The 12552-nt window shown below is 40.5% G+C and overlaps 1 protein-coding gene across 5 annotated transcripts in view; it reads left to right on the top strand.

Moving 5' to 3' along the window:
- Positions 1–12552, top strand: part of MYLK4 (myosin light chain kinase family member 4) — a 106740-nt gene that overhangs the window by 50573 nt on the left and 43615 nt on the right. The window lies entirely within an intron of this gene.

Genomic DNA, 12552 nt, shown 5'->3' with positions numbered 1-12552 from the left:
GGCACACACTTGAGCCTCACTTTGTTAGCTATTAATTTGTGTTACTGAATTTACAGGCCTGGAATACAATTTGTGCTTCTTTTTAAATAAATTTCATACTTTTTTTTTAATGGACTTGTAATCTACCTGAACTTGAATTTGTTGAGGGTTTACGCTAATGAAAATAACAGAAAGACAAACTGTGAGATATATCATGCCATTTATAATTAATAAATCACCAAACAGAGGCACAAACTTCAAGGGCTATAAAATGCCACACATTTTCACAGACAGTTAATAGTAAATTATTTGGCACAGACCCTTCTGTAGCTGGGTAGGAAGTTACTGTATTTAGTTGCTTTCAAACTCGTAATTTTACCTGTGGAAGGGTGGCCCTCTTTTGACTCTTTCAAGAACTATTATAAAACATGAGATGTTTGTGTGCATGTGTTGGGGGGATTATGCCTTACCCTTCCAGTTTACAGAAATGCTGCTGGTTTGTTTCTTTTTAATACCATTGGTCTGGTCCTCCTCCCCTCCCCACCTTTCTCACTGATAAAAATTCAATGTACTGGTCTTTATGAGTGAAGCTGACGGGAGTGTTTTTTCGTGTATGTGGGTGGATGTGATCCAGGAATGTAACCCAAGATTTAGCTGCATGTCCTGCCCTTTGAAGAGCCTTTTGTAGAGAGTTCTAGCTTTCCCTAAGAAGCCCTAGGACTTTTGTTCAAAATGAGCGCCCCGTTTTCCCTCATTCCTTGCTAATATGGTCTGTCTGCAAGAACAGTCCAAAGTAATGTCAGTGGGATGGTGGAAAGAGGACCACATCGTGAGTCCAGATAACTGGCCTTAGAAAGTTACTTTATGGATCAAAGGAGACTCGTGACTTCTAGCCATATCTAAAGGCGTTCTTAATGTAAAAGAAAAACATTCACAGACTTCCTTATCATAGCAGCCATACTTCTGTTATTTCCTGTTGAGAAATTACATGACTAGTAGCTATTTTTATTCAGTTGTTCTTTTGAATAAATTTGATTCTTACTAACCACACCAGTATAAACAAACATCTGAACAATGGTAATACATTCAGTAGTGCTAATATTTAGTTAGAAATTGTATGCAGCTTCTAGAAACAGAGCTCTATGCCTGGTGGATTAAATATTATACATAAAGATATCGGCCCTCACAATAAAGAAGTCCAGAGGTGTTGGTTTATAGCCAATGTCTCTGAAATTCTCTGACCTTTTCTTCATGGTCCCAAAGTGGCTGCTGGAGCTCCTACCATATCTGCTTTTCCTGCAGCTTGAAGAAGGAAGGATGATGGAAGGGCAAAGAGTTTTCCTTGAAAGGTTTTTATAATTTTTATGCTTATTTACCAATGGCTACCCCTTCTTCAAAAGAGGCTAAAGGATGTAGTTTTTTTGGAGAGCACATTATCCAGGTATCTGTTAGAATAGAAGAAGGGAGAAGGATATTGGCTAGGCTACTAGCAATCTATGACTCACTCAGTCTGTAGACAATGTTGGAAGTACATCTGGAATCATGAGCATGGTGGGGATTCTTGGTGTAGGTTTGGAGACCGCAGCACTAGATGTCTAGGATTTTCTTTTCTTTCTCTTTTTCTTTTTTTTTTTTTTTTTTTTTTGAGACAGAGTTTCACTCTGTTGACCAGACTGGAGTGCAATGGTGTGATCTCGGCTCACTGCAATCTCCACCTCCCAGGTTCAAATGATTCTCCTGCCTCAGCCTCCGTAGTAGCTGGAATTACAGGCATGCGCCACCACTCCCAGCTAATTTTGTATTTTTGGTAGAGACGGGGTTTCTCCATGTTGGTCAGGCTGATCTCGAACTCCCAACCTCAGGTGATCCGCCTGCCTCGGCCGCCCAAAGTGCTGGGATTACAGGCATGAGCCACTGCACCCGGCCGATGTCTAGGATTTCTTATATCTCTCACACAATGATTCTATGAAGCCGACATCCTGGAATGCTGAGTTTAAAGCACTTCTCAGAGGAGACAGCATGTAGCAGTGAAAAGAGCACTGAATGTGGAGTCAGAAGACATGGATCTAAATCCTGAACTATTATCAGGAACTCAGGCAAATTTCTGGACTTCTCAGAGGCCCAGTTTTTCTCCTATAAAAGGGAAAAAATAATGTCTACCCACAAGCTTCTGCTGAGGATTGGATGAGGGCGTCTTAGTGCACTATCTCAAACATATAGGTGTTTATTCAGTGTGACCTTAGGTTGAGAAGCCCAAGATTACAGTCTAATCCCAAATCTCGGGAGAGCCAGGGAAATGTGACCTTCAGGACCAGCCCCACTTAGGGGGTGCTGAACTGGATCTCCCAACGCCCAACAGCCATATTGTACGTTCCCTGGCCCCAGAAGCAGGTGTCAATTGGATTTCGAGAGGTGTGAGGCCTGCTGCATTCTGCATGTCTGCTCTGGAGGTCTGCTTAGGGACCTGCTTTATATTTCAGATTTTCATTTTTTATACTAGCTCATTTACAGATGTTTGATCAGGTGTGAACTTCTACCAAGAAGACCGTAAAAAGGAAATTTAACAAGTGAGTCTGAAATGGCATAGGAAGGGTCAGACTTTACACAAATTACGTACTGGACTTTCAAAACGAACAAAGCTGCTCTTTCTTTCTCATTTCCTCAAGACGTTCCTGGAAGGAAAGTTCAGGAGTTCACCTTGCCTGCAGTGGCTGCTAACCAGGCAGTCATACCAACCTGTTTCTGCTCATACTGTCCCCTTCTCTTGGAATGCCCTTTCCCTCCTCTTACCTGGCAGAACACCACTTCTCCATTAAGGCCTAGCTCAAGCAGCATCTCCACTTTAGAGCCTTGATACCCCAGGGCCCAGACTGAAGAAATCCTTCTTCTATTGGTGTAATGCCTGTCTCTTATCTTTACTATAGTAACATCAGGCATTATTGAGAGCTCACTATGTTCCAAGCACATCCTAACTGCTTTACATATTTTCATTCATTTTATATTCATAAAAACTCTGTCAGATAGGAACTACTATCCTCATTTTACAGGTGAAAATTGAGGTACAGAAAGGTATAGCTTGTCCAAGATCACATGGCTAAGAAATGGCCAAGTCAGGATTTGAACCTAGGTTCTTGACCAATTACAGTACACACATGGTAACTGATAATGTGTGGATCAGTTTCCCCTACTAGGTTGTAAGGAGTTTTCTGCCAGGGCTCTGTCTTACTCCTCTGAGCATAGCCAGGTCTTATCTTGAATGAATGAATGAATACCACATACTAGCATGTGGTAACAAATTCAAACTACAGAAAATAACTGAAATAGAATACTCGATGCCCCCGATTTAAGTTTCTATCTGCATAACAAACACAGTCAATAGCTTCTTGTGATTTCTTTGAGATGTTTTAATGCACACACCAGCATATATGTATTTTCCTTAAAGGATTTACCCAAACAGGATCACACTTAAACACATTCTGCTCCTAGCTACTACATACAGGTATAAAGATAATTTTCAACTTCTGACAAAGTGAAAACCCTATGAAGGGGTGATTTATGATGTTTTGGTTAACTATGATACTTGAAAATCCTTTGATTTTGTGTCCATAAAAATAGTTGTCCTGACCACATGGTAGTAACCTCAAATCCTTTGGTGATGAGGGAAAGAAATTAGGAAAGAGAGATAATTATCTGTCTTAACCAATGTGCTTGTCCACAATGTTCAGACTCATTAAAGGATTCTTCCTGTATTTTCTGTTACTCTGTATTTACAAAGAAACATTTACTAGAGTTTAAAAAAAAAATAGGCAGCAGAGAGCTTTGACCAGAGTGCAAAGGTTCTGGAATCCCTGGGGCAACAGTCGTGGTAGCCTGGGTGGTGGCAGTGCACGAGGAACCGTGGAATCCTGGTCAGCACGGAACAGGTCCCATAAATCTTGGACTTTCCAAGGGCCTGGAGTTTCACACGTGTTCTGAGTTATTTGACTATGCAAACATTTCATCTCCTCTGGCAGGGAAAACCCTTTCATATTCCATATGCTACAAATAGGCCCCTCTCTCAGAAATGGGGAGACAGCAAGAATTTCTGCATTCATGAACCTGAGACAAGCATGTTTGCTAGCGGTTTTGACCCTCACCTGTAAGCCAGACACGTGAAGCAGGACTAGCTAATTCTTGGAAGTCAACTTTGATTTAGATGTCTTGTAGGGAGATGCTCCTTTCCCCTAGATCCAACAAGTCCCCTGTACTCAGGTAGGAGGGAAAAACCTCCTGCTCATACAACAGGTAATGTTAACACCACGCTTTTCTCTGCCCAACATTGTTTGGATCAGCCAATTTTCTTCTCAGAAAGGTTCCAAACAGCAACATAGATGAAATTGGCTTTTATGACTTAAAAAAATTGTAGTAAAAGACACATAACATAAAATACCGTTTTAACCATTAAGTGTCCAATTCAATGATGCTAAGTACATTCACATTGTCGTGCAGCCCGTCAGCACCATCCATCTCCAGAACTCTTTTCTTCCTACAAAACTGCAACTCTGTACCCATTTTTTTTTTTTTTGAAACGGAGTCTTGCTCTTGTTGCCCAGGCCAGAGTACAATGGCAGGATCTCAGCTTACCGCAACCTCCGCCTCCCAGGTTCAAGTGATTCTCCTCAGCTTCCTGAGTAGCTGGGATCACAGGCGCCTGCCACCACACCTGGCCAATTTTGTATTTTTAGTAGAGACGGGGTTTCTCCATGTTGGTCAGGCTGGTCTAGAACTCCTGACCTCGGGTGATCTGCCCACCGTGGCCTCCCAGAGTGCTGGGATTATAGGAGTGAGCCACCACGCCCAGCCAACTCTGTACCCATTAAAGACCAACTTCCCATTCCCTGACCCCAGCCCCTGGCAACCACTGTTCTACTTTCTGTCTCTATGAATTTGACTACTGTAAATGGAATGACACAGTATTTATCTTTTTGTGTCTGGCTTATTTCACTGAGCATAAAGTCTTCAAGGTTCATCCATGTTGTAGCAGGGATCAGAATTTCCTTTCTTTTTAAGGCTGAATCATATTCTATTGTGTGTATATACCACATCTTGTTTATCCATTCAGCTGTCAGCGGACACTTGGTTTGTTTCCACCATTTGGCTATTGTGAGTAAGCTGCTATGAACACACGTGTACAAATAGCTCTTGAGATCCTTGCTTTCAGTTCTCATGGATCTATACTCAGAAGTGGAATTGCTGGGTCATATGATAATTCTGATGCAGGACAGGCGAGCCCCCAAATTGGGGCTATGCCCAGGAAAGAATTCAAGGATGAGCCAGTGACGTTAGTCAGCAATCTTTAATCAAATGGTACTGCTCTTTGCAGAGCAGGGCTGACTCATAGGCAGTGCATCCAGAGTGCAATGTGTGGGGTATTGGCAACTGTATTTACACTCATTCAAACCCACTTTCAATTACATGCAAATTAAGGGGTGAGTTAATGCAAATTGAGGGGCAGTTTACTTAGAACTTTCTAAGAAGCGGGGGTAACTTCTGGGACGTTGCCATTGCATTTGTGAACTGTCATGGAGTCATGGGCTGGTGAGATGTGTTATGCTAATGAGCAATGGGGCCAGCTGGGGATTCCTTTGGTTGCCATCTGCTGGTTTTGGCTGGTTTCTTCACTTCCTCTGACCGGGTCCTGGAAACAAGTCCTGCTGGTCTCCTACCTCAATTCCATGTTCAGTCTCTTGAGGAACTTCCACACTGCTTGCTGTAGCAGCTGCACTATTTTACATTCCAAACAACCGTGCACTAGGGTTCCCATTTTTCCACATCCTTGCCAACGCTTGCTATTTTCTTTGTCAGTAGACATCCTAATGGGTATAAGGTGTTATCTCATTGTGGTTTGGGCTTGTATTATTTTTCACCCAAGAAAAATCATTCTTCATCCTGGGTTTGAGTGGGAGTGGCCATGATTTATTTGTGTTTTGAAGAGGAATTTTTACCAAGCCGGTTTCTCTACTGAATGGGAGCTCAGGGCAGCTTTGCCAGCCTATGCGTAGGCCTAAATATGGGATACAACCTTTAAAAGGTACTGGCTGTACCACCTGGCCCTGCTGGTCCTCAATGACCTCCCCAGGGCATTGCTAACAGTTAAATCCTGCCCTGACTCATGGGATGGGGAGTGAGTTCTCTTTAACGTAATACCAGGGCAGCTTTGTGCCTCCTGTTACGTAAAGGGAGAGCGTTGTTCCAAGTATCAGGGCCATGCATGGATGCGACTCCTATTTCACCAAGCAGTGGCAAAGACTCCACACTGAGACACACACAGAACCTTCTCTTTTGGCCATGGAGAAAGGATTCTGTGCACTGCTCCATTTGTGCAGAACTTGAAAATGCTTGCTGAAGGAAAGACTAAATCAAGTTAGTATTTATGTTGCTTTTCTTTTCTTTTTTTCTTTTTTTTTTTTTGAGACGGAGTTTCACTCTTGTTGCCCAGGCTGGAGTCCAATGATGCGATCGATCTTGGCTCACGGCAATCTCTGCCTCCTGGGTTCAAGCGATTCTCCTGCCTCAGCCTCCCAGGTAGCTGGTATTACAGGCATGCACCACCATGCCTGGCTAATTTTGTGTTTTTAGTAGATATGGGGTTTCTCCGTGTTGGTCAAGCTGGTCTCGAACTCCCGACCTCAGGGGATCCACCCACCTCAGCCTCCCAAAGTTCTGGGATTGTAGGCATGAGCCACCATGCCGGGACTATGTTGCTTTTCTTTTTCCAAAAGCGCTTTCACATGTGTCACTGTATCTTGGCCTCACAATAATCTTTGGATCCAATGGAAACTGTGCCCATTTGACAGAGAAGCATAGTCTTTGAGATGTTAAATGCCTTCCTCAAGGGCACATGTCTGGTTAGCAGAAATGGGATGAGAACCCAGCATCCTGGCTGTAGATCAGTCCTTGGTTTTGAGAGAGAGGATCCCATCCAGGAGTTAACATTTTGTGGATTTAAATGGCCTGCTTTCTTCAGGACTTTTCAGGGTTTGAAGCAAGGTACTCTGTTGAGTGGGGGCAGAGAGTAGCTTGTGTCCAGTTTTTTCTCCATGAAGTCTTGATGTGTGAAAGCCCGATGCAGCCGTCTGGCTCTGTGAAGAGAGGCACGTCTCATTTGGGCCTTCTGAACCTCAGTGGGTCCCACTTAGTGTACCTCAAAATCGTTGGAGGTTCTGTTTGTTTGATTCTGCTTAGCTTAAGTTTAGAAGCTATTGCTTATGACTTTTGTGATCACTAAATCTGTTTCTCAAAACATGAATGTCATAGACTAGTGAATTTGCTGGGTTTTCATTGTCACCATTGTTCTGTTTAGTGCAAGTCAGAGATGACCTTTTACATCACTGGCGATGTACTTTGAATGCCTGTTGGCTCTCTACTTGAGTTTAAAGGGCCTGAAGTAGACACATGGGTCTGGGCAAGCCTACCCATATGTGGCCTATCTTCTGGAATTTGCTAGCCAGGACCTGCATGTCAGAGAGAGTACGTGAGTGCTACTGAACACAGCTGGTGACTGCCGTTGATGGACAAAAGGGAGCCAGCTTAGATTTATAGCTTCTCTCCACAAAGGTCATTTATCATCTCAGGTGGCCTCTGCTGAACATGAGCCCCGGAACATGATGAAGCTGATGTTAAGGGAGAGTGGCATCCGTGCTTGAGGACTTTAGATTACAGTGAGCATTAGTGGAAACATGGTGGTGCTTTTTTTGAATAGACCAGTTAACAGCAGTCCGTCTTCTGCTTTAAAACAAAAGATGAGAAAAATCTACTTCAAATGGCCAGCTCTGAATATATCCTGATACATATTTACCTGCATAATGTATAACTTGTATTTTCATGATTTACATCTTTACAGAAGCACCTTTTGTCAAGGATATCATGGTTGGAGGAAAGAGCTTTAGTTATTTTGAAAAACATTTATCATTTGTATGTTGCTTTTTTGGATGAAATGCTTAGAGCCTACTTTAAAGTTATATACCTTAAAATTTGCCTTTAAAAAAAAAAGATACCCAACTTTAGCATTGTTAAAAGTTGTTTTCAGTTCATGGATAATGTCACATACTAAATGTGTGTCTCAGATGCCTTTCCAAAACATCTTTGCACTTCTTAGCTTATCGAATAAGTGCTGCCCCATTAAAGTGTGTTGCTGTGAGGTCGTGGTCCTTCCATAGAGCTGACACCCCATAGCAAAGCTCATGCAGGATAAACAGAAAATTGTCCTCCTATGTCATAGTAGTGCAAAGTTTGAAAATACAAGGAGCATCTTCCCCCCATTTCATTTTATCTTTATTGAGCCATAGGCAAGAACATTTAATGAGGAGATTCTGAAGTAATTGGAATCTAAGAATATTTAGAACATGGAACCACCTGAGTGTGAAGGTAGGAGGATGCTAACACATCCAGAACACTAACAATAATTTGTAACTTGAGTTCATTAAGAAAATATCATGCTAAAGTCATCTTACTTCCTTTTCTCCATGGTTACTAAACTAGTTGTTGATGGTAATACCATGATTAGATTAATTTCTGCAATTGAGTTTCTTACCATGTCCTTGTGGGAAATTCAGAGGCATGGAAACTGGATAACAACAGCTGGGTGAAACTGTGGCACTGATACGTGTTAATTAATGGACTGATATGAACCTGAGCAGCAGTTCTTGCCATTTTCTGTTGTGGCACACACGGAGGAGGATGTTCCCACCCTGGTCTCATGTACACAGCTGTGTGTGGTTATGCGTAAGCCAGCAGAATGGCCACAGTTCCTCCCCTGTGTCTCCCACTCAGGAAAACACTCCTGGAGACAAGTGAGTGCAAGAAATGTTATTATAAGGAATAAACTTGAAACCACTGATTTGAAAAAAGAAAGGCTGGCAAATTTTATTACCTCGGACATTGCTGATAACAAATTATTGGTGATAGTATAAGCTACTGTAAGACAGTCTGTGCTATGACACAGCCCTTCATCCTGTTCAGGCTTTTAAACACCAACTTTAAAGAACACTGAAAGCCATGTGTCTAATTTTATTGCTGGAACACCAGGGGTTTGGTCTAGGTCTTGTTTCTTGCAGCACAGAAAGCCTGTCACTGAGATTTTGAGTCTTGCCAGGGAAGAAGGCTTTATTTGGGTGCTGCAGCCAAGGAGATGGGAGATCTGTTTCAAATCCATCTCCTCAACCAGCTGAAATTAGGGGTTTTTATAGCAGTGAAGAAATGTAAAACAGGAATTAGGGAGGGGTAAGGAAGCAGAGCTGGTCAACAGAAAGGAGGTAGTTGTTTAAGCAATCATGATGGATAAGGAGTCTGGCATTTCATTGTCCAGATGTGGTGACCTGGTGAGTTTTAGTTCTTTGATACTGTCTGGGAGACCTGATGGTTGGTTTCCTGAGAAAGGAACTCAGAGAAGAAAAATGTAACTTTTTTAAGTTTTAAGACTTGGGGAGGGAGTGGGGGCTGTAAATTTCTAATAAGACACTATGAACATCAGTTCTGTGGGACAACTGGGCCTATTTCAATCTCCTAAGGAACCACATGGCTTGAGAGCTTTAATACCAATGTTGGGGGATCAATTTCTATGTTTATTCAACGCAGCCTGCAGGAGTGAGGCATCATTGAAAACCGGAAGCAGCATTCAATGTCAGAAAACTTACAAGTGAGAGAAGGTTTATATTAGTACTTAAAAGCTATTAATTTTTAAGAATATATTTTTGATGCCTCCATGTAAAAGGGTTTTATTTATGTTTTATTCCAAATGGACATCTCTCATAAGTAGAAATGTCAACATAGCCAATTACTACTTAAATATTTTTATATTTTAAAGAAATGATTTCTTGTTTTAATAAAATATATATTCAAGTATGGAAGATTTTATTTTATTTCAGCTCCTGACTGTTAGTTTCTTGGGGACAGAGACAGTATTTTGGGTTTATTTCTCTGCTGTCAAATCCTAGCACCTCCCAACACCTACTCTTAAAGTTTGGTGAATTAAACCATCATTAACCAAACCTGAAAGGGAAATCTTGGCTGGGGCTACAGAATTCACTTTCCATTTAGCACAAGCTTTACAAATTAGAGAGATCGTACATTAGCAAGCTAACCCTAGGGCAATTGTTCTCAACTCAATTCAATCTGTGACTGAATGTTGGAATCACATAGGTTGCCAAAGAAAAACATGCAGAACACTAGTTCAAATGGAATTGCAAACAGCGTTTCTCTGGGTTGCCATGTGCTGTACTTGCTTGTTTGTTGAATTCCTGGTGCCATTCATGAACCTCAGTCCTGGGGCTTGCTGTGGCCCTGAATTCTAAGGTGGTGAACCTCCTTTGTGAGCTATGCCCAGTGGGAAGGTGCAAGGCACAGATCTGTCTGTGTCTGGCTTTGAGTGGGACACCATGCCTCACGGGCAGATCCACAAGTAAGACGCAAGTCTCATGGCACCACTGACAGAAACTGAAACAACGGGAAGGCAAGCTAATATGGAGTGTTAAGATGTTGATGTAAAATGATGTTTTCTTTTTGATATGTAAAGTTTGAGATCCTTACAGCATGACCAGATGTTAAGATCTGCTCATCGTTGTGTGATAGAAATAAAGACCGAATTTTGGAATGATTGGTGCAGAGTTGAATAGAAAGGGCTCATGAGTTTTCCAAGAGGAAAAAATCTCAGTTCACTGTTCATAGATGACTAGTAGACAGTAGATGAGATGACCGATAGAGGGTTATGATGGCCAAAGTGGGAAGAAATGTCAAATAGCAGTGAGTTGTTCTGATTAAACATAAATGATGAGTACCACTAACAGGATAAAGGCCATAGCAACCATGATCATTCTGTTATTATCATGCTGAAGAAGGCAAAATATCTTCTAAAAGAATGGGGACAATCTGAAATTTTATAGGTACATGGCTTGAGAAGGGAGGTTAAACTTTTTCAAATTTTAAAAATAGTAGCTTATTTAGAAAGAAATCAGATACTGTGTTCAAGGCTATGAGAGAATATACGGAGACGCAAAAGGCAGAAGATGAACCCAGGCTTTCCTATAATGTTGACTTCTGCCTTGAAGAAACGATGTTTCTTCATGGGAACTAGGACTTTTAGTTATGAGTCAGAGTACAAAGTGATAGGCCAAAAGATTAAGTAGACTAGAACATATAGTCCTGGGTGTAACCAAAACAACAACCTTTGTGAGAGTTGAGAGCTGCCAGAATCCCTAAGCATACTAGAATAGCCGATTTACTTTGGGGCTGCCTGAGACTAACAGTTTAAGTCAAAGTAAATATAGTTTTTTGAGATTGGATAATTTCTCTACTTTGTTAGCAGAGGAAATGGAAAGGTGAGCCACGATTTTTTTTTCTCCCATAGCCAAAATGATGATGAAGGTTACATTGTATGGCAAATCTGTGAAGATGAACTTTGATGAACAAAGATCAGCACTTTGGTATTCTCTGAAAAATCATTCCCAAACCCAGTAGAGGAGAATGTAACAAAATGTAATGCTCAAAGGCAAATTTTTAAAACTGAGGTTTTCATCAGGGAATAGTACTCAGAAGCACACATTTTTATTTCTGAGTATGAATATGTTTGTAGATTCAGTGTCAACTTTCCCAACTTTTATTTTGGAGTTGGTGTTCTTTGATTATTACTTGAACTTAGTAATGAAACTGACTTTAACATTATTAATTATTAAAATAAAACATTGTTTTGAGAAAGTGTGTTTCCATATAAGGTTGAGATTAATACCATCAAAATTTCTATTTTTGAGTTTTAATAAAGATATTAAATCATCCAGGGGAAAAGATTATATACACTCTGTGAATGTGAATATGGTTAAATGAGTATTGATGGGAGCAATATTTTAATAAAAATATGATGCTTATGAATGGTATGCTATTTCACTAAAAATACATATCCATATTTTATAACAAACTAGTCTTAGTTACTTAATCACTTGAAAAAAAGTAGATTTTAGGATTTTGATTTGTTGATTTTTTTTGCATCTGAAGTCTCAATTTTATAGAATGCAGATTTTCTTAGGTGTTGTAATCCTTATTTGGTTCGTTTTCTTTAAAATTCAAAAGAAAAAACACATTTGACTTTGACATTTATTGTCACAACTTTTAGTGGAGAAAAATTTGGGGGTGATACTAACTGAAAGTCGAATTCATAAAATGTGCTTAACACTTTTTATAGCATCTACCTGGGAACTGAACTTACTTATTTTAAATAACACTACTTCTCTATTAGGAGAAGTTCATGCCAGTATGATTAATTTTGTGGGGGTGAATAGAAAATGAACAACAGCAAAGTAATAGCATGCGAACTTTTCATGTTGCGATTTGACTGATGTTGCTGTAGTAAGTTGTGTGTGCGTGTAAATGTGCGCCACCAATAATGAGATCGGTTTGAAAATATATTGCTGTATAACTGAATTAAATCAAAATGAAAAATTTTACAGTGATTGTTAAATGCCAAATTGAACTGATCTCATTAAATGTGAAATTCAAGTATATTTATACTGTGGACTAAATTTTAATACATGAAAATAATGAGAT

Source organism: Homo sapiens, chromosome 6, assembly GCF_000001405.40.
Source record: "Homo sapiens chromosome 6, GRCh38.p14 Primary Assembly".
NCBI lineage: Eukaryota > Metazoa > Chordata > Mammalia > Primates > Hominidae > Homo > Homo sapiens.
This window is presented reverse-complemented; position numbering and strand designations above follow the sequence as displayed.